The sequence below is a fragment of the Homo sapiens genome, chromosome 16 (genome assembly GCF_000001405.40).
Source record: "Homo sapiens chromosome 16, GRCh38.p14 Primary Assembly".
Taxonomy (NCBI): Eukaryota; Metazoa; Chordata; class Mammalia; order Primates; family Hominidae; genus Homo; species Homo sapiens.
The window spans coordinates 14,149,090-14,176,130 of NC_000016.10; the positions used below are offsets into that span (position 1 = coordinate 14,149,090).

Below are 27,041 nucleotides of genomic sequence, written 5' to 3' on the forward strand. Positions count from 1 at the left end.
CTGATTTAGAATATGTAGTTTCTATTGATGGTTTTTAAGGGTTGGCACGTATGCGTTAAGATTTTTATAATAGCATCAAACTGTCAGCTAAAAGATAATTTTCAGCTCTTTTTAAAGCCAAAATTCATATTTTTATGGTATTTATGTTGTTGTTTTCATTAAGAAAATGCTAATCGTTGGGTGTCTATTTCACCAGTTAAATTTTTGATATATGGCCTCTGCGTTTAATGAAGACATAACAAGAAAAGCAAAAAGTCTGATTCACGGCTTGCCTTTGGTTCTTGTAGTCTAAGTTTAAAAACTGACAAGTGTTACAGTTGGTCAGCACTCTGCAGATTTGCGATTCATAGCTACAAAATAGAAGACCCTCTTTGACAGAAGCCTTGATCCTGACATAGCAGTTAAGAAGAATGTTGCTTGGACTGCTTGATCAAACCACTGCCACGTATTATAGGAAGGAAAAGTTCGCTGTATCAGAATACTCCGCTCTCCCAAAGTATTAAAAAATTGATATTTCAAGAATGGAAATGATACTTTTTAAAATTATTGTTAGCAAACATTTATTGAATGATCATTGTGCCTCTTACTCTAAAATAATTCCTAGATTTTTAAGCCTCTAGTACAATGTTGAAAGTTCATGATGTAGTATATTCTCATAAACTTGTTACACAAAGATCTTTAAAAGACATTTCCCTGACTGTATACAGAAAAATGATTGGAGATGATTCTTGTGGATAACTGAAAAAGAAGAACCTAGTTTTAAAGAAGGAGGGCTGTAGAGTTAAGCCTGGCAGGAGCGTGCTCTGTTGCACTAAATGTGTGGTGGCAGGCCCCTCAAAGCCGTGGTTGGAATAATCTTACGTATTCCTTCTAGATTGTTGGGAAGATTGAATGAAATAAAGCATCTAAAGTGACTAGCACACATACGGCACATCTTAGGCTCTCAGTACATGTTTTAATTAACCCAGTCTTGCATGCCTGATGTGAGAATACCATGATGGAGGCACCAACTTTGGAGCCACCCTAAGCCTAGATCTTAGCCACACCATTACTAGCTATGTGAATGTGGACCAATTAGTTACCTTCCCTTTGCCTCAGTGTCCTTATCTGCAAAGTGGGGATCACACTAGTATTTGTTTCATAAGATTGCTCTGAGGGTTAGATCAAGTAATCTAAATCAAGTATAGAGAATAGTGCAAGCACATAATTAGCACTTTATTAGTATGTATATTTTGAGAATGCAGTATCGTTAACCCTTGGACAATGTAGGGGTTGGAGCACTGACCCCCGTGCAGTAAAAAATCCATGTATAACTTTTGGCTGCCTATCTCCTGATAGCCTGCTGTTGACTGGCAGTCTTCCTTTAACATAAACAGTTGATTAACACATATCATATATGTTATATGCGTTATGTACTGTATTCTTACAATAAAGTAAGCTGGAGACAAGAAAATGTTATTAAGAAAAATCATAAGGAGCTGGGTTTAGTGTCTCACCCCTGTAGTGCCAGCTATTCAGGAAGATCTCTTGAGCCTGGAGTTCAAGACCAGCTTGGACAATATATAGCAAGACCTCATCATAAGAAATAAAATAAAGGAAATTATGAGGAACACATATCTACAGTATTTTACTGTATTTATCAATACTGGAAGTTTACACAGTCTGTTTATAAAATGAATCATCTGTCTGAAATGGTGGGCAACTGCAGTTGCAGATCTCAATCTATGGTACATATCAAGCAATTCAACTTTTTCTTCTAATGTCATGACTTTTTTCTGCTTCTTGGGAGCACCTCCAGAATCACTAGTGGCACTTCGTAGGAGTCTCATTATGCAGAGCTTAAGGTACTGCACTACACATGATGAAAAATATGTGAGAACCTCAAGAGATTACTTTTTACTTCTATGTGCAATTTCCTGGAGAGACAACTGCTCACGCGGAGATGATGAACATCACTTGGTGTTTTAAGCAGTACTCGCAGCTCTTGAGCTTCACCACAATAGCAACAGGAGGTGACTACAAAATTGTTACAGTAGTACAATATCCACTACAGTTGATTTATGTTGATTTACATTGCTCATCTATAAATGGTGCCACGTATGGTCTGTATGTGTATGTAAGTTTTGGTAAATTTTAACTTTTTATAATAGATTTGTGTATATTTTATGGTAGTAAATGATAAAAATAGACTAGTTTCCACATATATTTTATACATTCACAACATACCTAACTTTTTCTTAATTCTTTTGATATTTCTAGGCTATGTGGTTCATCTGAGCTTTTTCAAATTTTCACACATCTCCAAAAAATTTTGCAACACATTTATTGAAAAGAATCCAAATATATGTGGACCCATGAAGTTCAAAGTCATGTTGTTCAAGGGTCAACTGTGTTTTAATTTTTACTAAGTCAGTGTGGCTTTTCAGAATTTTCACCATGATGTTTTATAACTTAGCATTTCTTTTGGTCGTCCCAGTAACTTTTGCTCCCATTTTCTACAAGTATTTCTTTTTTAAAAAGGCAAAATGACATTCAGTTTCTTAATGTCTCACCATGTACCTTCATAACATTTGAAGAGCAGCTTATCTGATGAGTGCTGAGAGGGCAAAGGCAGTGGGCACTGATTTCCCATGAAGTTCATCTCTTGTTGGTACTGCCAGTTCCCACAATCCTAGCATTCTCTGGGCATCAGTCAGTGTCTACAAAAAAGGATTTTCAAATATTAAAGCATGTGAAAAGACAAACAGGCCAAAACTCAGAGCTCTCTAGGGACTATGACCTCCAAAACAGACTCCATTCTGACATTTTCACAGGCTACTTGAAGGAATTCCAGCAGGGTTGTTCCATTTGGTAAACTCCTAAACAAACCCTCTGTCATCGAGGACTGATTTATAGAATTTTCTCCTTATGTGCTTGTTCTGAAGAGATTAAGATAGTAGATATGGTTGCTGAGACTCTTTTAAAAGTCATTTGATATATATGATAAGTACTATACAGAAGATTTTTGGTATTTTGAAGTAATAAAACAGTTATTTGTAATGTTTAAAGAGATTTTGTGTTCTGAGTTGTCTTCTAAGTTCTTTTTCTTTTTGATTCCAGGAAATCTATGTCATAATCACATCTCTAAATTAAGTTTTTTTCATTATAAACCCAATCATTTAACAAAGAAATTGAATAAATTCAGAAATTATCTTTGTATAAACAAGTATGTTAAAAACATGTTTATGCATATATATAAATATATACATATGATATACATATATCATATGTTTTACAATGACCTTTAGAATATGTGAAACAGAAACAGTTCGGTTGTTATAGAATATTCTTCTATGAAATCTTGGTGTAATGGCAGCTGTTTAGATGATGCTGTAAGGTCACTAGAGGGGGTGGATCTATAAGTTGTTTTTCAATTAATCTGGATCCTCTTAAAATATTTTATTGTGTATTTTTATGCATTTCTTTTTTTAAAAAGAAGAATATAATGCTAAAAATAAAGGAGAAGGGCAGAACCCAAGAGATTTGGAGCCTGGAGAACTTAAGGAAATGGGTAGTTGGGATTTATTTGGCTTGTAGTTGTCCTTAACTGCTAACAGCCTCATGGTGGTCTCATCTGAAGTCTGTGAGTGGCATGTATGAAATTCCAGGGTGAACGGCATTCCACATTGGGAGGACCAGGTTTGTTGGGGAATTTTTGTATGGTTTGTTTCCTTCTTCGTGTGTTTCTTTTTAATCCTTTAAATGAATTCTTTAACTGAATTAACAGAGTTTTAACTGCTAAATAAAAGTCCTATACAATCAAAAATTTCTTAAGATTTGATATCTGATTCTGTTGTAGGAATGTAATATATTTTGGGAATGAGTTTAAAAATGGGACACAGGCAAGTAAATTGATTTATGATGCTTTCAACCAAGCTTCACAAAATTAGTACTAAAAATAAAATTCATGTTATCATATTCTAATAACCTGTCATAAACCTAGCATATTTTAGGTCTCCTTAGTGGAAAAAAAAGAAAGGAAATGAAAGTGAAATAATAAATTGCTTAATTGGTCAAAATTAGTTATTGAGTTCTTGGCTGTACTAGAGAATTGTGTGGCTCTTAATTGATGTTTAAAATATAAATAAAATGTGTATGCTGAAAAAGATAAATGTGTGTGTTACTGTTTCTCTCAAGCCAAGAATAACAGTGATATTTAACTAGTCATGATCTTAATATGAAAAAGTATTGCTTTTCTAGTATGTTTTCTAACAACTTTTTTATCTCTGTATATTTGTTAGTCTCCATCTTTTTCAGAAAAATGGAATTTGGTTAAATAACAATTTGCTGAACCAATGAAACCTCTGGTTGCATACTTTTGTACTTGTTTGTGCATAGAAATCATGTAGCTGTTTGGATTGCTCAGCGCTTTCTGAACCCTCAAGAGAAGGAAAATGATTGCACCTTCAAAAAGTTGAAGATTTTATTTGAATACCCAAATATTATAATTTGAAGGATTTTCTAGATAATGGAATTTAAACTCATATCAAGTTAGGACTAAAAAAATTTTAATTTGAAGAAATTCAAGAACTGAGTCTTAAATTATAACTGTCAGGGTCCAGTGGTGTTATTACACTGAAACTATTTAAAATAAATTCTCTCATGAAAATACATATATTTCTTAAATGACCCCAAATGTTTCATGTACTTTTGAGGGTTATATAAATGTCAATTAGGTTCAGTTGATTAATAAAGTTGTTCAAGTCTTCTATACCTTTATTGATTTTCTTTTTATTTGTTCTACCAATTAGAGAGTAATGTTGAAAACTCCAACCACCAACATGGATTATTTCTCCTAAAGTCTACTCTGTTTTATATTAATAGCCCCTCTAAGTATCATGTGCTTACAACTACATGAAATATCTTTTTCTCATGCTTTTACCTTTAACCCATCTGCATCTTTATATTTAAAGTGAGTTTCTGGTTGGACATTGTGGCTCATGCCTGTAATTTCAACACTTTGGGAGGCCAAGGTGAGAAGATCGTTTGAACCCAGGAGTTCAAGATCAGCCTGGGCAATAAAGCTAGACCCTGTCTCTACAAAAAAATTTTAAAAATTAGCCAAGCATGATGACACACACCTGTAGTCCCTGCTACTTGCGGGGCTGAGGTGGGAGGATTGCTTGAGCCCAGGAGTTTGAGGCTACAGTGAGCTAGGATCACACTACTGCACTCTAGCCTGGTGACAGAGCGAGACTCATCTCCGTTTTTGAAAAATTTTTTAAATGTTAAGGATAAGCTTGCTGTTAAAGTAGAAATTAAAAAAGAAATTTTAAAAATAAAATGGATTTCTCATAGATAGCATAGAGCCGAATCTTTTTAAAATGTAGTCTGACAATCTCTTACAATTTTAATTGCAATATTTAGATCATTTACATTTAAGGTAATTATTGGTATATGTGGTATAATAGTTATCTATTGCTTTGTAGTGAATTTCTTTAAACCATAACAGCCAAATGCAGCATGCATTTATTATCTCACAGCTTCTGTGGGTCAGGAATTCAGGCATGTCTTAGCTGAGTACCTCTGCCTCAGAGTCTCTCAGGAGTCTGTAATCAGAGTGTCAGCCAAGGCCAGAGTTTCATCTGAAGGTTCAACTAGGGAAGGGTTCATGTCCAAGCTTACTTACTTTGCTTTTAGCAAGATTCAGTTCTTTTAGGACTGTTGGACTCAGAGCCTGAGTTCCTTGCTGACCATTGGCTGGAGGCCACCTGGGTCTCTCTGACATGACAGTTTTCTTTATGAAAGCCAGTAAGAGAGAAGTCTTCTGGCAAGACAGAGTGATAATCTCTTGTAGCATTCCTTAAACTTAACCATATTCGATTGATTAGAAGCAAATTACTCTAAGGGAGAGGATTATACAAGACCATAAATACTAGGAGGCAGGGATCCCTGGGACTACCCTAAAGGCTGCCCATCACAATTGAGTTCAAATCTATCATCCATCATCTTGCTCTATGTATATATATTTTTTTGTCTTATGTGTTCTGTCTCACTTCATTCTTCTTGTCTTACCTTGTTTAATTTTTTCCCATTTTACTTTATTTTTATTTTACAGTGCCTTATTAGATATACCTCTTTTTTTCAAGTATTCCCTGATCTTTTAAAATGCATATCTAATATGCTGTTAATCCCACCCAATAAAAGTTTATTATTTTCCTTTTACCTTTAGAAGTTTTATTTTGTTCTTTTTTTACTGTCCATGTTTCTCCATGTTATATTTATGTTTTAAATACTTGTATATAGTTATAGTAGCTGTTAATAGTTTCATTTATTTTCATCATTCTGGGTCTGTTTTTATTGATGAATTTTCCTCCTATTTAAGAGTTGCATTTTCCTGCTTCCTGGTGTAAGTAGTATAGTAATTTTTCATTGGATATAATTTTGTGAATGTTGCATTACTGAGTGGAATTTGTTTTTGTTGTCTTCAGTTAAAGAAAGTTGGGCTTTGGTTTGGTAGGCAGCTAAGTAACTTTTGGATCACCTTCAAGGCCTTTCTTAAATTTTTTAGGAAAGATCTAGGGTAGCATTCGTGCCAGGGAGACTCCCCTTAAAGGTATCTCTGCTGCATGCCCTGCTAAGTGCCCCAGGGAGGACATTTCACTCAGGCTGGTTGCAGTTCGAACGTTTCCCGACCTTGTATGCACTCTGGGAAGTATTTAGCTTATAGTCCCTGGTCATTTCTTGCCCAAACTTGTGAGATTTTACTCTGTGTACATACAGCTTAGCACTCAGCAAAGACTCCAGGGCACCATTAGGCAGGTTTCTGGAACTCTTTTTCAGCATAGATCCTGTTTTTCACAAATCTTCCCTGAAACTTCAGCTGCCTTAGCCTGCTTAAGCTCTCCTCTCATCTCTGTCTCCTCAGTTCAGCAAGCCTAACAAGCTCCTGTGTGATTTCTCCCTCCTCTTACCCACAGTCTAGAAATTGCCTCCAGGCAGAAAGTTAGGGCAATTATGGGCTCATCTCATTTGTTTCCCTCCTCTCAGGGGCCACAGCCCTGCATTACCTGTTTGCCAATGTGTGAAAGCAATTGTTTCATGTATTTTGCCCAGTTTTCTAGTTTCTTATGGCAGGAAGTTAAGTCCAATGATTGTTATTCCATCATGGCTGGAAAACGAGGGTCTGGAATTGGGATTTTCACATAGGACCTTTGCTTTTCCTGTGACACATGCTTCCTCTCAGTACATATGGATGAACTTTCTGACTAGGACTACAGTAGCAATATCAGTTTATTTTTGGACCCACCCAAACGCTCAGACCTTACTGGAAGTACCAAGTTGCTCTGCTTTTTGATCAGTGGATGAACGAAATTAAATTGTTGGTTAAAGACCAGGCTAATAGTTATGGTTGGTTCTCATGGCAAGTAGCTTTTCACTTTTGCTGTTGATACAGAATGGTCAGCAAGACTGTCATAGAAGATACCGTGCTAGGGCCTCTGGGATTGCTTGGAGATAATGGCATGGTCATTCCATTGGTTCAAGAAGTCATCTCTTTTTTTAAATTTGAAGCCTCAAGGAGGAAAGGTTTCACTGGTTGGCAGAATCCATTGTTCATTAATAAATAATTAATTGTGTATTATTTTCTCTTATAGAAATATTGAAATTTTAAAATATTCTCTTTTCCTCAGTATTTGAATTTGATTCAACTTGGCAAAAGATTCAGCCTTTAAAAGAGACAACTAAAGACTGTATTTTCCTTCTCACATGTATATTAAATGGGAACTTTCTTGTCAGGATAATCTAGGTTATAGTAAGAAAAAAAGCAAGGAATAATAGATCTATCACGGGTGCAGCTAACCATCCTTTTCACACCCTCCCATCATGCGTTCCTCCCATCAACCACTCCCCACTCCCCCATGCAAAGGAAAAGGTCTTGCAATGAAATATATCAAATTATTTTGGAAATTTACATGCATATAAACTATTTTCATCTCTTTTCTATAGTTTGCATTTTTCATAATGTGCACATAGTACTTTTATATCAATGAAGGTAGAAATCTTTTTTAAACAAATGTCATATAATAGGGAATATCAGAGTGACTTGGTAGCTCATGATTATATTGTGATATTGGGAGGATTCTACTTAGAGCTAATTGTCCAGTCAAATCTTCACAACATGTCATAGATTCTCATTCTTTATTGAACACCAGAGCTTTAAAGAAGAATTTAGGTTGATAAAGAGTTTTGAGTGGTAGAATAGAAATAAGATAGAATATCACTGAGGTTATCTGATAATACCACTCAAAAGTACACATCAGCATGATCATGGAAACATAATCTGATCAAAATCTCTGTGGTCTGGCTCCCCAAAGTCTGTACTCCCTACTTTTTAGCCTTGGGCCTAGTGGTTTAAGGTTCCCACCTTGGTTCACAGGGCCACCCCTTACTGCCCACATGAGCTATTGTGTGCCTGTCTCACAGTTGCTGAGAAGCCAGCATGGGAGTTAGGAGACAGGGAACAGATGGGAATCTCTAGTAGTGGGCTTGGTGAGGGAGGCTTCCATGTCAAAACTGGCCACAGAGATGGAGAATAACTGATCTACAGCAGATAGATGCAGCTCCAACAAGGAACTATTGAGTTTGGTTCTCAGGTTCATTTGGTCCAAGTGACCTGCTGATGCTACAGATACTGATACTGATACTACAGATAGAAGCCAAATAAATGAGACATCACTGAATAAAGGAAATGTGGAAAGACTGTGTTTTTGAAAATTAGAATTGTCAATGTATAATTTGTACTTTAGAATATATCATATTCTATTTTTATCAAATGACTTTTATATATAGTTTCATTTTATTGGCCCAAATGTTTGAAAATGTAATTATTTGAATTAATGCATTAATTGGTTTTAATGTGTTATTGCAGAATGTTTTCCAATAGAATTTTTATTTTTAAGCTATATGGTTTTTATAAGGGATAGTTCCCCCACTTTTGCTTTCTTAAGGACTATAATCATGTAAATTAAATACCTAGCACTTCTATTTTGACTTTCTTAGTTACCATGTGTCTTCTCACAAAAACAAACCACTTTTTTTCTCATTCCTTTTGGTAATGTAACCAATCAACACATATTTTTATAGATCCACCTACAAACAAGGCACTGTGTTAGATTTTTCCATGTGTTTCTGCATATTTCCACATTCTTCCTTCTTGCTTACACGGTAGGCCTAGAACCAATTGGTAAATAGCAAGTTAAACTATTAAATTCTGCCAGTAGTGAGAGGATGTCTTCCCTGACTAGGCAAAGATATTTTACCTTTGAAGTAGGTTTTAATTGTTTCCATTTTATAAAACCTATAAATTGAGGGTCAGAGAAATTAAATAATGCAAAACACCCAGCTAGCTAATGAGGTATAAAGTTTTAAAGTATATTGTTGGTTCTAAAGCTACCTGGTTTAGATGGTTATAAATAGTGCTATTACAATAGAAAAAATATAACTTTCACATGAAAGGTAGTTAATTAAAGATATGTTTAAGATTATTAAGATGCTTTTATTTTTTATGTAATGAATATGGCTATAAAAGGTATAAATATAATCATATGCAAAGCTAAAAAGAGTTAAGATTTTACTTGAGGGAATAGTTTTATTTTAAAAGTCTGTTGAAGGTTAAGACATTCTATAGTCAACCATCTACCTTGTTGAACTTGCCTAGATTCCCTTTCATTTAAGTTTATTCATATATAATAGGTGCTATATAAAGTTTATTCATGTGGAGAGCTGGGCACAGAGGCTGACGCCTGTAATCGCAGCCACTTGGGAGTCTCAGCCAGGAGGATCACTTGAGGTTAGGAGTTCAAGATAGCAAGGGCAACTTAGCAAGACCCTGTCTCATAAAGATTAAAAAAAAAAAAAAAAAAAAACTTAGGTGTTGTGACTTATGCCTGTGGTCCCAGCTACTTAGGAGGCTGAGGAGGGAGAACTGCTTGAGCCCAGGAATTGGTGAGCCAGGATCACACCACTGCACTGTAGCCTGGGCAACAGTGTGAGACCTCACTAGGTGTGTTCATGTGGATATTCATACAAAGAAAGAAAAACTCATTCTTCAGTGTTCTCAAGTTGTATTCTTCTTTATACTTTTCTCAGAAAATGTTGCCATGCTAGGAAGAATTACTTTACAACCAAGGACCTTGGTAGTCTAGAACACAGAGCTGTAGTCAATTTTGTGTGTTTTCATTCTAGCTCAGTACTTTTGAAGGTACTCAGCTAAATGAATGAAGAAATTTTAAAAATTTCTCTAGTAGAAGATGTCCAAATAATTTTTTTACCTTTTAAACAAACATTTTCACATTGGCCAGTAAAATTGAAAGCCTGAAAATAGATTATTATGGGAATTTATATCATTTTAGAAACTAAAATAAAAATCTCCCTTTACTAGTTCTGTAAGTCAGTTGTATCTTTTCTGTGGAAAAATGCAAATGGACATTTTCCCCTTAAAGTAGGGCAACAATCTTTATTACATGATCTTTGTAACGCCTGAAGTTAGAGCAATTTATTAACTTTATTTAAGAATCATGGCCGGGCGCGGTGGCTCACGCCTGTAATCCCAGCACTTTGGGAGGCCGAGGCGGGCGGATCACGAGGTCAGGAGATCGAGACCATCCCGGCTAAAACGGTGAAACCCCGTCTCTACTAAAAATACAAAAAAATTAGCCGGGCGTAGTGGCGGGCGCCTGTAGTCCCAGCTACTCGGGAGGCTGAGGCAGGAGAATGGCGTGAACCCGGGAGGCGGAGCTTGCAGTGAGCCGAGATCCCGCCACTGCACTCCAGCCTGGGCGACAGAGCGAGACTCCGTCTCAAAAAAAAAAAAAAAAAAAAAAAGAATCATTTACAAATAAATTACAGGTATGCCCAAATATGTCAGTATGCATCTTTAAGAATAAATACATTCTCCTGTAAACCACAATATAGTTATCAGCCTCAAAAAGTTTAACATTGGCATAGTAATATTATTTAATGCACAGCCCATATTCATATATCCCCACTTTCCCCAAAAATGGCCTTTATTGCTTTTTTAAAAAATCAAGGATCTAGTCAAGTATCACTCATTGCATTTAGTTGTCATATGTCTTATTTAGCATTGCAGAGTTCCTCACCTTTAAAAATTTTTTTTCATGACTTGCCATTTTTGAAGACTCCAGGCCAGTTATTTTGCAGAATGACCCCAATTTGAATTTGTCAGATCAGTCCTAGTGATCAGTTTAGGCTAAATATTGTTGGTGATAACACTAAATAGGTGATGGATCCTCATGGAATCACATCAGAAGATAAATGACAATTTTGTCCCATTGTTGGTGAGATTAAGTTTGATCACTTGGTTAAGGTGGCATTACCCTGTTCCTACTATTTCTCTTATGTAAATGTACTATTTCCATTTGTAATTAATAAGTAATGTGTGGGATAATACCTTGAGACTATAAGACTATTCTGTTTCCCAACCTCCTTTCATCTGTGATTTGAATGATGATTATTCCCTAAATAATTATAAAGGTACTTGCAGAATCATGATGTTTTAATTCTGACATTAGTTCTCTATTCACTAGCACTATTCTGAGGAAAAAAAAAAGCTTTCTTTTCAAAGGGAAGTATCACTATGGACTTACAGATATTTTATTTTTTTAATTGGAAAGAGTCTATCCATTATGGTCATCATTTTTGATGCATAAATTGTCCCAAATTTGGTAACTGTGACCCCTTTCATGGTGGTTTTTGTGTCCTTTTGGCCCATCCCCCTTAATTTTTTAGTACTTTCCTACCTTCTGGCACAAGATATTTCAGAATCATCTTATGCTTTCATTGGCTTCATCTTGGAATTAGCCCTTGCTGTAAGAATTTCTGGTTCCTTTTAGTGAGGAATAATATTTAGGAACCAAGATCTGAGAAATAGACATGTTTTTTGTTAGTTGAGTGTCACTGCTTCTATTCTGTTCTGTTTTAGTAGGTAATGCCAGGACTTTTTTTTTTTTTTTTTTTTTTTTTTGTAATCGTGAGTTCAGGCCATGATTTAGTAGGCAGTGCTAGGATACATTTTTTTAAAAAATCATGAGTTGAGGCCAAGAATAGCCATGCCATCATGAAGTAGGTGAACAAAGCCAGAGGACTTACATTTCCAGATACGAAGACCTGTTATAACATATAGTACTTTAGACAGATAGTCTGACCAATGGAGCAGAATGGAGAGTGAGAAATAGGCAATATTCAGTCACCTGATTCATTACAAAAGTAACACATTTGTGCAATGGAGAAAGCATGGTCTTTTTAAATAAATGGTTCTAGATTAGTTGGATGTCCTGTGGAAAGAAATTCATCTGGATTGAACTCATACACAAAAAATCCAACTATAAAAGATAAGATAGTAAAGTTTTCAGGGGAAAAACATCTACATGATCTTGAAGTGGGCAAAAATTTTTTAAATAGGACACAAATAGCACTACCCATAAAAGAAAAAACCTGATAGATTGCATTATATTTACATTAAGAACTCTTGTGTACCAAAAGACATCACTGAGAGAAAATCAACTCGTCCAGTAAGAAGAGGTAAATCTCAATATATATATTGAACAGAAGACTCTTCTTTAGCATATAGAAGGACTTCTACACGCCAGTATAATCAGTGGACAAGAGCTTTCACAGATACAGATACTTCACAAAAGAGGATATCCAAATCATGCACATATATGTGGATAAAGATGTGTATTCATTAGTACCTCAAAAATGACTAAAATATGAAAAAGAAAAATACCGGATTTTGTCAAGGATTTAGAGCAGTTGGTGGGTACATAAACTGGTATAACCATTTGAGAAACATCTTAAGTATAATTCTACCCTGGGTGTCAGAATTACACTTCTAGATTGATAGTCAACAGAAATGCGTGTATATGTTCATCAAAAGATGATGTTTTGGTCAGGCATGGTGGCTCATGCCTCTAATCCCAGTACTTTGAGAGGCCAAGGTGGGAGTATCACTTGAGCCCAGAAGTTCAAGACCAGCCTGAGCAACATAGGGAGACCCTGTCTCTACAAAAAAAAAAAAAAAAAAAAAATTATTTTTTAATAGCCAAGCATGGTGACACATGCCTGTGGTCCCAGCTGTTCAGGAGGCTGATGCCAGAGGATCACTTGAGCCTGTGATGTCGAGACTGCAGTGAGCCATCATCACATCACTGTTCTCCCCTGGGCAACAGAGCAAGACCCTGTTTCCCCCTCTCTTTCCCCAAAAAGATGATGGGTTTTTTTTAATTATATGACATTACTGTGTTTTGTAGGTACTGTCAGCAATTCTATATGGTTCATTCTACTAGGCTGTTCATAGCAGCACTATTTGTTGTAGAGAAAGACTGTAAACTACCCAAATGCTCATCTGCAGTAGCATGGTTAAATAAATTGTAATACTTCACACAGTGGAGTATAGCATTGAGAATGAACATACTACAACTACTTGCAAGAATGTGCATGAATCTTACGAAAATAAGATTGGGCAAAGGCAGCTAATCACTAAAGAGTATATACTATATGATTCCATTTTCACAAAGTACAAAAACAGGCTGAACTACTACTCTGTGGCGTTAGAAATCAGGATAGTGGTTACACTTGTCAGGAGGAAGTGACTAGAAGGGAAGCTACAAGGCAGGAGCTCTTAGGATGTGGAAAATGTTTGGTTTCCTGATGCCAGTTGTGTGGATGTGATCAGTTTTACAAATTCAGTGAATCGTATACTTATGATGTGTACCTTTCTGCATGTCTATTATACTAAAATAGGTAACAAATAGAAATCCTAAATCTAATTTAAATTTCAATCTAACACCATAGGTTTTTTTCCTTCTGCTTCTCCCAGTTCTTGTTTGTCTATCTTTTTGTCCTATAATGAAAAAGCTTGATTCCCAAAAACATCAACGTATTTATTCATTTGCTCAATTCTATAGTATATAAAATCATTTCAGAATTACACCACCAACAATATTACTACTGCTAACAAATCTATTAAGGTCAAGATTTATTTGCAGTTCTTTTTGTTCTTAGACTATATCTCATTGAGGGTATACAATCAAGACTGCATTCAAAAGCTGCTTTCTTTCATATTAGTTTTTTTTATATTTTTATATCTTTTGGATAGATTTTCTTGGAACCCAATTGGAAATAAGTCAGGTATGACCATTTAAAGAGACTAAAGAAGTGATTCAGTTTCTCATGTAAGGAAAATATTTTAGTTTGTGGGGAGATCAAGTCATTGCAGCCTAGACTGTTAACTATCTTCAACACATTTTCTAATATTGTAGCATTGTCCTATCAATTTATATTACATATAAGCCTCAGCTATGTTTACTGTCCAGTAATATTGCTCACTGGAAGATCAAGGCCACATGAAAGCCATTTTTCCAAATAGTTCACATATATCTATATTGCACTTAACAAACTTTTGGCCGGGCACAGTGGCTCACACCTGTAATCCCAGCACCTTGGGAGGCCGAGGCAGGCGCATCACCTGAGGTCAGGAGTTCAAAAACAGCCTGGCCAACATGATGAAACCCCATCTCTACTAAAAATACAAAAAATTAGCCAGGTGTGGTGGCGGGCACCTGTAATCCCGGCTATTTGGGAGGCTGAGGCAGGAGAATCGCTTGAACCCTAGAGGTGGAGGTTGCAGTGAGCTGAGATCATGCCATTGCACTCCAGCCTGGGCAACAAGAGCGAAACTCTGTCTCAAAAAAAAAAAAAAAGCAGCTTTTATTTATTTTCTCATATTTATGTTCACTAGAAAACATACTAGAGGGAATGGAAAGAATACCTTTTTTGATACATAATACTTGTACATATTTATGGGAGTGGTGTAATATTTCGTTACACGTTGAGAATGTGCAGTTACCAAGTCTGGGTATTTAGGATATCCATCACCTTGAGCATTTATCATTTCTATGTGTTGGGAACATTTCACATCCTCTCTTCTAACTATTTTGAAATATATAATACATTGTTGTTAACTAAGTCACCCTATTCTGCTGTTGAACTTTAGAACTTAATTCCTTCTGTCTACCTGTATGTTTACACCATTAACCAATCTCTCTTCATCCCCAGCACCCGCCCCACACTGCCACACCCTTCTCAGCCGCAGAACTATCATTCCGTTACTCTGTATCTCTATCTCCTTAAGATCAACTTTTTTACCTTCATGTGTGAGTGAGAACGTGCAGTATTTGTCTTTCATGCCTGATTTATTTCACTTAACATAATGACCTCTAGTTCCATCCATATTGCTGCAAATAAAAGGATTTTATTCTTTTTTAATGGTTGAATAGTATTCTGTTGTGTGTTTGCCATGTGTGTGCGGGGGTGGGGGATGGGGGTGTTCACACACTACATTTTCTTTATCCATTCATCTGATGGACACTTAATTTGGATCCATATCTTTGCTATTGTGATTAGTGCTGCCTTAAACATGGCAGTGCAGGTATCCCTTTGATAGACTAGTTTCCTTTCCTTTGGTACCTAATTTTATTAGTGGCTTCACATGTGCCAGGCACTGCACTTGGTGCTTTTTGCATTGTCCCATTTAATCCTCCCAGCAGTTTTGCAAGATGGATAAGAATTATCTTTTATGTTTTACAAATAAGGGACTAATAGGAACTGAAGCTTTGAGAGATTTGGAAACCCAAAGTTACGTGGCTGGAAGTGGCAGACTGGGATTTGTCTGAACCCAGATCTTTATGACACCAAAGCCGATGCTCAATTATGAGCATTTTTGCTTGCTTAAAGTAAAATAATTATCGAGGGTTAGGGTTGACTCTGCATGTAGAAGAAGGAAAAAAAAAGCTGAAGACAAAATTAAAAAAAAAAAAACTACCTGATATTTCTAATCGCATCTTCCTTTCTTTTCAGGTTTCAGATTTAAGATTTTAGCACTTTTTTCCAGGCCAAAAAGGGTCACATGGTTGCTGCTGTCTTGGCTCCTAGAAACAGTTTCCGTGATGAATCTTTTGTTCCAATGCTTAGTTTCCTATCAGATGGGGTTGTATCTAGTATTAGTAGGTTGTAAGTTTAGAGAATTCAGTTGCTTGATATATTGCTGCAAAGTTTAGTCCTCATGACCAGTTGAGGATAGAGCATGTGGTGCATGGATGATCTGAGATGTGACTTCTGATTTGTTCCTTTTTCATGTTTGCTGCCGTGGAGAATTGGAATAGGCTGTTAATTGATCTGTTCCTTTCTAGTCTGATGCTCCTCTGTGCCCCAGAGATGGCTGAGTGATCTTTCTGATGTATGTATTTAGGCATGCCACTCTTGTCTGCAGTTCTTCAGTGACACCAATTTGCCTTTAGGATAAAGACCAAACACCCTGCAGACTGTGTGTCCTGTGATGTCCTGGACTTTGCCTAGCCATGCGGCCGCCTTTGCCTTCTGTACCCTGTGCTCCAGCCCTGCTGCACTACTCACTCTTTGCCATACATTATTCTCTCTTGGGACTTGGTATTTTTGTACATGTTGTTCTCTTTGCCTTCTTGGACATGTTCTCACTGTCCTCCCCTTTCCCCATCTCATCCCTACAACCTTGTTCATGTGACACCATCTTCCAACACTCCTGCTTTCTCCCTGTTCATCCAACTAGATGATTCAGAGTAAATAGTTCTTAGTTTGTCGTTCTGAGCCATAAAATGGTTAATAGCCTTTGCCTTCAGTGTTAAACTTGAATTTGTGATTACTGTTACATGTATCTTTTCAGTTCTGGTATACTTTGTTCTGTAAAATATTTAGCATTCCCTGTTTTTCAGATACTGCTTTGTAATTTAACCCTCTTTGGATGTTTTACTTGAAACGACAAGAGGTATAGCATTTGTGCAGTGAGAGCCATATGTTTCTATTTCTCCTTCCCCATAGTTGAAAGTAAGAAGTAGGACATGATTATTTGAAAGAAGAAATTATAATACTCGCTTTCTATGCAAAATAGAGCAGCCACTTCCAAATGTGCATGTCAATCTTATTGTTTAGCAATTAAGAAGAATGGGATAACATATTACTTTCTAATTACAGAAATTAAAGGATACCTTGTGTGTGGAGGAGGAAACTTTTTTGGTTTTGTGTGGGTTTTCTTTTCTTTTTTTTTTTTTTTTTTGCCAACATCTTATTTTGAAACAATTCAACCATAAAGAGAAGCTGAAAGAATTGTACAATACATATCCATATAATAAACACATAGATTCTATAATTAACCTTTTTTTATACTTCATTTATTACGTATGTATTCTTTTATCCACTTAACAGTCCATCAAAATTATTCATGCATTTCAAAAAAGAATGTCAACATCAGTACACTTTACCTCTAAACAGTTCATAGTGAACATCCTTATGTGAAGTACAAAAGTGGTTTACATTTTTGTTGTTGTTGTTGTTTGCTTAAGTTCCAGGATACATATGCAGGATGTGTCAGTTTGTTACATAGGTAAATGTGCACCATGGTGGTTTGCTGCACCTGTCAACCCATCACCTAGGTATTAAGCCCAGCATGCATTAGCTGTCTTCCTGATGCTCTCCTGCCCACCGCACCCACCCCCGACAGCCCCCAGTGTGTGTTGTTCCCCTCCCTGTGTCCATGTATTGTCATTGTTCAGCTCCCACCTATAAGTGAAAACATGGTATGTTTGATTTTCTGTTCCTGCATTAGTTTGCTGAGGATCACAGCTTCCCCCTGCATCCATGTCCCTGCAAAGGACATGATCTTGTTCCTTTTTATGGCTGCACAGTATTCCATGGTGTGTATGTACCACATTTTCTTTATCCAGTCTATTATTGATGGGCATTTGGGTTGATTCCAAGTCTTTGCTATTGTGAATAGTGCTGCAGTTAACATACATGTGCACATACCTTGATAATAGGATGATTTATGTTCCTTTGGGTGTATACCCAAAATGGGATTGCTAGGTCAAATGGTATTTCTGGTTCTAGGTCTCTGTGAAATTGCCACACTGTCTTCCACAATGGTTGAACTAATTTACATTCCCACCAACAGTGTAAAAGCGTTCCTATTTCTCCGCAGCCTTACCAGCATCTGTTGTTTCTTGACTTTTTAATAATTATTCTGACTGGCATGAGATGGTTTCTCATTGTGGTTTTGATTTGCATTTCTCTAATGATCAGTGATGTTGAGCTTTTTTCCAGATGTTTGTTGTTTGCATAAATGTCTTCTTTTGAGAAATGTCTGTTCATTTCCTGTCCTTTGCCTACTTTTTAATGTTTTTTTTTTCTTGTAAATTTGTTTGAGTTTCTTGTAGACTCTGGATATTAGACCTTTTCCAGATGGATAAATGGCAAAATTTTTTTCCCATTCTGTAGGTTGTCGATTCACTCTGATGATAGTTTATTTAGTTTATTTTGCTCTTTAGTTTAATTAGATCCCATTTGTCAATTTTTGCTTTTGTTACAATTGCTTTTGATGTTTTCATTATGAAATCTTTGCCTGTGCCTATGTCCTGAATGGTATTGCCGAGATTTTCTTCTAGGGTTTTTATAGTTCGGGGTTTTACATATAAGTCTTTAATCTATCTTTTTGTTTCTTTGTTTTTTGTTTTGTTTTGTTTTTGTTTGTTTTTGAGATGGAGTCTTGCTCTGTCGCCCAGGCTGGAGTGCAGTGGCGCGATCTTGGCTCACTGCAAGCTCCGCCTCCCAGGTTCATGCCACTCTCCTGCCTCAGCCTCCCAGTAGCTGGGACTACAAGCGCCCGCCGCGCCCGGCTAATTTTTTGTATTTTTAGTAGAGATGGGGTTTCACCGTGTTAACCAGGATGGTCTCGATCTCCTGACCTCGTGATCTGCCCACCTCAGCCTTCCGGAGTGCTGAGATTACAGGCGTGAGCCACCGCGCCCGGCCAATCTATCTTGAGTTAATTTTTGTATAGGGTGTAAGGAAGGGGCCTAGTTTTAGTTTTCTGCATATGGCTAGCCAGTTCTCCTAACACCATTTATGAAATAGGGAATTCTTTCCTCATTGTTTGCTTTTTATCAGGTTTGTCCAAGATCAGATGGTTGTAGATGTGTGGTCTTACTTCTGAGTTCTGTATTCTGTTCCATTGGTCAGTGGTTTACATTTTTAAAGATAAAATGTGTGTGTGTGTGTGTGTGTGTGTGTATGCTTATCTATATATAACAAAATGCACAAATCTAAGGCACACTGTTGGATGAGTTTTGATATATGCATATGCCTAAGTGCCCGAAACATTTACCAAGATACAGAGCATTGCTATCACCGCAGAAAGTTTCTTTCTGCTCTTTCGCAATCATTTTCTACCCTAGCCCCTCTGAGACAGCTACTGTTGTGGTTTTGTTCACCATTTATCTTTCTTTTTACAGTTTCAAGTTTCATATGAATGGAATCATGCAATGCATGCTCCTGTATAAGGCTTCTTGCATTCAGCATGTTTTTGAGATTCATTAATGTTGTATGTATCAATCCTTCTTTGTTGTTGCTTAGTAGTATTCCAGTGTATGAGTAGATCACAGTTTATTTATCCATTTTCCTTTTAGTGGACTCCTGGACACTTTCCAATCTGAGGCTAGTATTAATAAAGCTGCTATGAATAGTCTTGTACAGGTATTTATTTCTTTGGGTATGTATGTGGGAGAGGAGTTGCTGGGTGAATATTTAGTTTTCTAAGTCTGCATGCCCTTTTCAAAAGTGGCTGCATCATTTTATACTCCCATAAATGTATGAGAGTTCCAGTTGTGCCACATTCTCACCAATATTTGGCAAAGTTAGTCTTCTCCATTTTAACCATTTCTGTGGGTGTGTGTTGATATCTCATTGAAGTTTTGATTTGCATTTTCATGATATCTAATGATATTGAGCACTTTTTAATGTGCTTATGAGCTATTTATGTGAAAGATTTTTTCCAAATCTTTTGCTCATTTTTTCCAACTTTATATTATAGTAATTTTTAAATATATAGGAAGTTAAAGAAGTGTTACAGTGAGCTCTCATGTATACCCCACTTGGATTCTGCCATTAATATTTTAACATGCTTTGTTTTATCTCGTGTACTCTTACCTATCCCCCTCCGACCATCAGTCATTTTTTGACATATTTCAGATATCTGTACACATCTCTCTAAAGACTTCAGCAAATGTATCAACTTCAGTGTTTGCTTAAAATGTCCTTATTTGAGTAGGAACAAATTATCCATGCTTCTCCTTCTTATGTTCTTTCCCCCTAATCCATTCTCTGCTTTTCCTGCCTGTTTGTATTCTGAGATTATTGTCAGTCCCACTCAGGTCCGATTCTGAATATTTCATAAAACATAATAGCATGAAAACACCTTTTTTTAACTTTGCCCATTTTTTAACCTCGTTTTTGTCTTTTAATTATGAAATTTTGGAGTTTTTTATATACCCTTGATTCTAATCATTTGTCAAATACATGTTTTACAAATATATTCTCCTGGTCTGTGGCTTCCGTATTCATTTTCTTGAATTATCTCTCTATGAGCAAAAACTTTAGTTTTAAATAAGTCTAATTTATCATTTTTAAGATCAGTTTTTAGAATTATAATACCTTAAAATTTGTTTAAATGAATTACACACAGGCAGTTACTATGAAGAGACAGTTTGAGTTACCAGTTAAAGAAATTGTAAGCCATGCATGGTGGTGCATGCCTGTAATTGTAGCTACTTGAGAGGCTAGGGCAAGAAGCTTGCATGAGTCAAGGGGTTTGAGACCAGCCTGGGAAATATAGCGAGACTCCATCTCAATAAAAATAAATAAACAAAAATTTTTAATTAAAGAAATTTTAACATACAAAATTGTCATTTTAGGGGTTGGCCTTTTTTCATCATAGATATAACACATGTTCATTATAGACCATTTATAAAATTCAGAGTGACAAAAGGCAAGGAATTTCAATAAGCTATAAGCCCTACCACTAGATAACCACTGTAACATTTTCAAGTATTTTGTCATGATTTTTTCTTTTAATTGGAGACTGTACTGATCATGTTTTTATGGCTTCCTTTTCTCCTGTCACCCTTACAGTGAACATTCCTCCATGTTATTAAATGTTCCTCTCAGCTGGGCATGATGGCTCACACCTGTAATCCCAGCACTTTGGGAGGCTGAGGTGGGAGGATCATTTAAGGCCAGGAGCTCGAGACCAGCCTGCACAACATAGCAAGACTCCTCTACAAAAAATGTTTAAAGTAGCTGGGCGTGGTGATGCACGCCTGTAGTCCCAACTACTCAGAAGGCAAGAGAGAGGTTCCCTTGCAACCACAATCTGGGTGACACAGCCAGATCCTGTCTTTCCCTGTCTGTTAAAAAACAAAAACTTCTGAAATAAAATTACTTTTTACTTCTTTGGCTCATTGTAAGCACTCAATAGTTATTTTTTGATTTTGAAGCCTAATTTCAATGGCTATACAATATCATTATAAATGTGCCATAACTTAAATCACTCCCTGATTAACGTTTAGATCATGCCTAGAATTTACTGCTATAGTTAATGCTGGTGTGAATACCATTGCATATAAACCATTATACATATATATCAGAGTATATATCATGTGTATATATTCCAGAATATTCATTTAGAATAGTCATAGGTATTATAGGGTCAGAGAGTTTAGACCTGTTTCTGGATTCTGGAATACATTTCCATTTGCATTCTAGAAATATATTATTTATACTTTATTGACGGTGTTTGAAAGTATTTTACAGTATTCTGATCTCCTTGAAAAATGTTGTTATTAAATGTGGGTAATTGCTAAGTGGTAATAATTCCATCTTTCCTTACATTTGTTAACAGATGACTTTCTACTTTTAAAAAAAGTTTTTGTTCTTCCTCCTTTTATTAACTTATATGATTATAGAATCATGGAGTCTGTGGGTTATAATCTGTTACTGTTATTTATTTTGATGCTCAAAGTGTCTCAGATTTGGCCACCTCCTTCAAGCTAGCTTCTATGTCCTTTTGACAAGCCCAACATCATTCTCTGAGCATTTGTTTGCATTCTGGCACAACAAAATGTTCTAGGCTCAACTGGAGCTTTTCTTGCCCCAGCCCTGGAGCCAGCCATTTCTTGAAGAAAGTATGGTACCTTTTAGTAGAGTATTTATAAACTAAGACCTGGGAACTACATGTGTTCATTGTTTCTAGATCCTCTTAGTAGACAGAAATAGAAAATATACATAGTCTGGGCATGGTGCTCACGCCTGTAATCCCAGCACTTTGGGAGGCCAAGGCAGCCAGGTGTGGTGGCGGACACCTGTAATCCCAGCTACTCGGGATGCTGAGGCAGAAGACTCTCTTGAACGTGGGAGACAGAGGTTGCAGTGAGTGAGCTGAGATTGTGCCACTTCATTCCAGCCTGGGCGACAGAGTGAGACTCTGTCTCGAAAAAAAAAAAAATACATTTACACACATCTCTGTTTCTGGCACTATCACTGTATATATTAAAAACCAGATATCCTTAATGATAACTCCATTTTCATTCCCACATCACTGGGTTCCTTTAGCCTTTCCCCTTTATGTATTTGTAACTCCACTCTCTGACAGTGAGAACCTAGAACCTGGCTCCCATTATCCACAATATATTTTATGTGTTTAATTCTAGAATACACATAAAGTAGTTTTAGAATTGCTAACCTATTCCACTGTGAAAATAAATGTGTTACATTTAAACATGTGAACTTTATGGTTTGTAAATTATATCTCAGCACATCTGTTTAAAAAATACCTACAAACTGGAGTTCAGTATTTGTTCATATCCTTTTTGGTTTTAGCCTACAGGTATATAGTCAAAATCTGTATTCAAAAGTTGTTAAGGTTGATTCTGTCCTTCCTTCAGCATGTCCATGTTATTTGAAATGCAGTTGCATTCATTTATTTTATGTTCAAATTTGGGTTGTCTTCTATCCTAGCTAATTTTATTCATTTCTGAGTACTGAAATATTAATAAGGTTCTGAAAGTCAAAAATATACAAAAAGATGTCAGTAGAGAAGTGTCACTCCTCACCTTTCTCTCCTATCCCATTCCCATCCCTTCATCCTTTCTACCCTGTGTCCCCACCCAATGAAGGTAATAAATCTCATTGATTTCTAATTTGTCCTTCCTTCCCCGCCTCCCCCCCACAAACAAGCAGCTATATTTTATTTCCTCTTCTTTCTCACACACGAAATAACATATTGACACTATTTTGCAATTTGCTTTTTTCACTCACTGTATTGTGAAAAACACTTCATACCAGTTTGTAGAGATCTTCCTTGTTTTTAACAGCTATATAGTATTCCATTGTATGGTTGTACCATAGTTTTATTCAGCCAGTCTCCTATGTGTGAACATTTTAGTTGTTTCTAAGATTTTCCTGTTACAAACTGCTGCAGTAAATAACTTTTGGCATTTTTTTAATGATGTCAGAGATTTATCTGTCAGGTAAATTCCTAGAGAGAGGGTTGCTGGGTCAAAAGAAAAATGCATGTGTAGTTTTGTTAGACATTGCTTTCCCAGAGGGTTGCATCACTTCGCATTCCAACTAGCACTGTAAGAGAATGTTTATTCCTCCACAGCCTGGAGGAATAAACAGAAAGTGTTGTCAGACATTTTTACCATCTAATGTTTGGTGTAATTTTGATTCAGTTTCTCTAATTATGGGTAAGGGTGAACCTCTTTTCAATATGTTTAAGGACCATTTCAGAATCTTTTGGAGGAGGGAAAGAATGAATTATCTGTTTATTTCTCTGTCAGGTTTTTGAACTTTTCAATTTTTAGAGTTATTTACATATTGGGGTGATTAGCCTTTCCTCTTCAGTATGTTTTTGGGTTTTTCCTTTAATGTGGCCAAAATTTATCAGTCCTGTTTTTATTGCATCTAGATTTTGGGTCACAGTGTGAAAACTTTTCCCTATGTCCAGGTCATAAAAATCCCATCAATATTTATTCAGCATACTCATATGGTTTGATTTGTTTTCTTTTGTTACATTTAGATCCCAGATCTCTGATCCTCTTGGAGTTTTTTTGTTTTTTGTTTTTTCTGGTTAGGCCTCTCCCTCCACATTGCTTTTCTTTTTCTGTGTTTTTCCGGCTTGCCTTGGATGTTTTCATTTTTTCCATATGAACTTGAGTATCAACTTGCCTTAGCTCCATTAAAACGCTTGTTGGTGTTTTTACTGGGATTGCACTAAATTTGTAAATTAACTTAGAGAAACTGACATCTTTATGATGTGTTATCCTATCCAAGACCAAGGACTGTCTTTCTATTTGCCCTACCCTATTTCAGTATTTTTTAGGAGTTTTACACATTTCCTGTTTAGTTTCTTCCTAAGAGTTTTTATCATCTTTATTTGCTATAATTAATGGAGTTTTCTCCACTATTATAATCTCTAACTGCTTATTATTTGTGTATCTGAAGGCTATTGAATTCTGTATGTGTTTGAATTTGCCCTACTTGAAGTTTGCCAGGTTTCTTGAATCTGTAAATTTATGTTTTTCAGATTCAAAGTGTTTTTCAAATTCAGATTCATGGAATTTTCAGGCATTATTTTTGGAAATATGTCTTGTGCCTCATTCTCTCTCTGCCATCCTTCTGGGACTCCACTTGCATGTAAAATAGAACTTTTGATATCATCACATGGGTCACTGAGGCTCTGTTCTTTGTTTTTTAATCTTTTTCCTCTTTGTCATATACTTTATTTTCATTCTTCCATTTTTATTGATGTAATGGTTTACGGATTTGAATTTTTCTCTGATCACTGCTTAAATGCATGGCATAGGTCCTGATATACAAAACAACTATTTTTTTTAGAAATTTTTCTATTTTACTTTGTATTTTTCCTTTTTTATGAGTTAATAGAAGATGTAATTAATTTCAAGGTACACAATCCTTTTTAGTTTTTTATTATATTGGTTTTACATTGAGATCAGAGTTGTTTGTAATTTTTTTACTTTATGGAACTTGTTTTCCCTGTGACTTAATGTATAATTTTTTTTGAGGATTCTATGTATATTTGAGAAGATGTATTCACTATCATCAGTGCAATGATTAGTTCAACATGTATCAATAAGATCTCTTTATTGATTGTGCTATTTTGGCCTTATATATCCTTATTTTTTATCTACATCATCTGTCTTGTACTAAGAGTGGCAGATTAAAGCCTCCTATTAATTGTGTCTATGTCACATTGTATCTGTTGTCCTTTTTGTTTTGTAACAGTGGTTGCTGTGTGTTGTTTTGTGCATGGTCATACTGTTACAGCTTCATTTTGATTATATAGCTTTTAGCATTAAAAAATGTCGCCCTGGCCAGGCACGTTGGCTTACGCTTGTAATCCCAGCACTTTGGGAGGCTGAGGTAGGCGGATCACTTGAGGTGAAGAGTTTGAGACTAGCCTGGCCAACATGGTGAAACCCCGCCTCTACTAAAAATACAAAAATGAGCAGGGCATGGTGGCGCACACCTGTAATCCCAGCTACTCGGGAGGCTGAGGCAAGAGAATCACTTGAGCCCGGGAGGCAGAGGTTGTGGTGAGCCAAAATCACACGACCACACTCCATCCTGGGCCACAGAGTGAAACTTTGCTCCCCACCCCCCAGAAAAAAATGTCTTCCTTTGTCACATACAATTTTTTTTAATTTGAATTTTACATTTTCTGTTTTCGGGATCACCACCCGTTTGCCATCCTGATCTGTAATACACATCAGTTAACCAAAATGGTATAGGCTTGTCAGTCACAGCTCATTGCGTTACACCATCAGTGTGCACTGTAGAAATCATTCTTCAGTTATTACAGGTGGGATTTATTTGAATGGATGAATAGGTTTTGTTGTTTTGGTTTTCTTTATTTCTTTTTTAAGATCCTTTTGAGCAGTTCTGCTGCTCAATCATTTTCATGGTTTAGATGCCCAGGTAAATAAAATTAGATGCCTAATTAGAAATTAGGTAAATTTCTCTTGCATTAAAGTTTTGTAATAGTAAAGACTGTTTCAGGGTTATTGTGTTACGTAAAGGAATTTCTCTGTTCCCACGAGTAACCTTGTGGGTTTAAAAAAAAACATATTTATTGAACTATAATTGACATACAATTAACCACACATATTTAAAGGATTCAAGTTGAAGAATTTTGGCATATGTATGCAACTGTGAAACCATCACCACAATCAAGACAACAAACATTTTCAACACCCTTAGAAATTTCCTCACGCCTGTTTATAATCCATTCCTCTTTCCATCTCAGTCTCTAGGCAACTACTCATGTATAAATGGAATCATACATGGTATGTGTTCTTTTTGTCTGCTTCATTCAGCATAATTTTGAGATTCATCCATGTTGTTTATGTAATTCATTTTTATTTCTGAGTAGCATTCTCCTATATGCATTTACTCATTTATTCATTCATTATGGGCAGATGATTGCAGTTTTTGGCTATTACAAATAAGACTGCCAATACATTTATATTGAAGAAACCACTGTTCCTTTAAAAACTAAGCATACACTTTCTACATGGCCAAGTCTTTACACAAAAGAAATGAGTATAAATATCTACACAAAGATTAATAGACAAATGTTCATAACAGACTTATTCATAGTAGCTCAAAGTTGAAAACTACCCAGATGTTCATCAAACAGATGAATGGATAAACAAAATATGGTATATCCATACAGCGGATTACTCAGTAATAGAAAGGAACCAACCACCGATGAGGTGCAACAATGTGCATGAATCTCAGAGTCACTATGCTAAGGGAAAGAATTTAGACTCAAAAGACCACATACTGTATGATTCCATTCACTTGAAATTCTAGAAAAGATAAACTAATTGATGGTGATAGAAAGCAGATCAGTGATTATCTGGAAACTGCAAAGGGGCAGGATAAATCTTTTAGGAATGATGAAATTATCCTATATCTTAAATGTGACTGTGGTTTCATAGGTGCATGCCTCATCAAAACTCACTATATACTTTAAATGGATGCACCTTATCATCTTTAAATTATATCTCAGCAAAATTGATTTTGAGGTGTCTTTTAGA

General features: G+C 36.1%; 1 protein-coding gene across 30 annotated transcripts in view; it reads left to right on the top strand.

Moving 5' to 3' along the window:
* The window catches only part of MRTFB (myocardin related transcription factor B), a 272,006-nt gene that overhangs the window by 154,316 nt on the left and 90,649 nt on the right, over positions 1 to 27,041 (top strand). For 5 of the 30 annotated variants that reach the window (NM_001365420.3, NM_001365421.3, NM_001365419.3 and 2 more), the window contains one exon: positions 197 to 4,147. The exons of 24 other annotated variants lie outside the window; for them this stretch is intronic. In NM_001365420.3, the coding sequence (NP_001352349.1) occupies positions 197 to 228 (32 nt within the window). In that variant the 3' untranslated portion in view covers positions 229 to 4,147. Of the gene's footprint in view, positions 1 to 196; positions 4,148 to 27,041 lie in introns of those variants that run through there. One more of the 30 variants, XM_017023503.3, reaches the window with a different exon arrangement.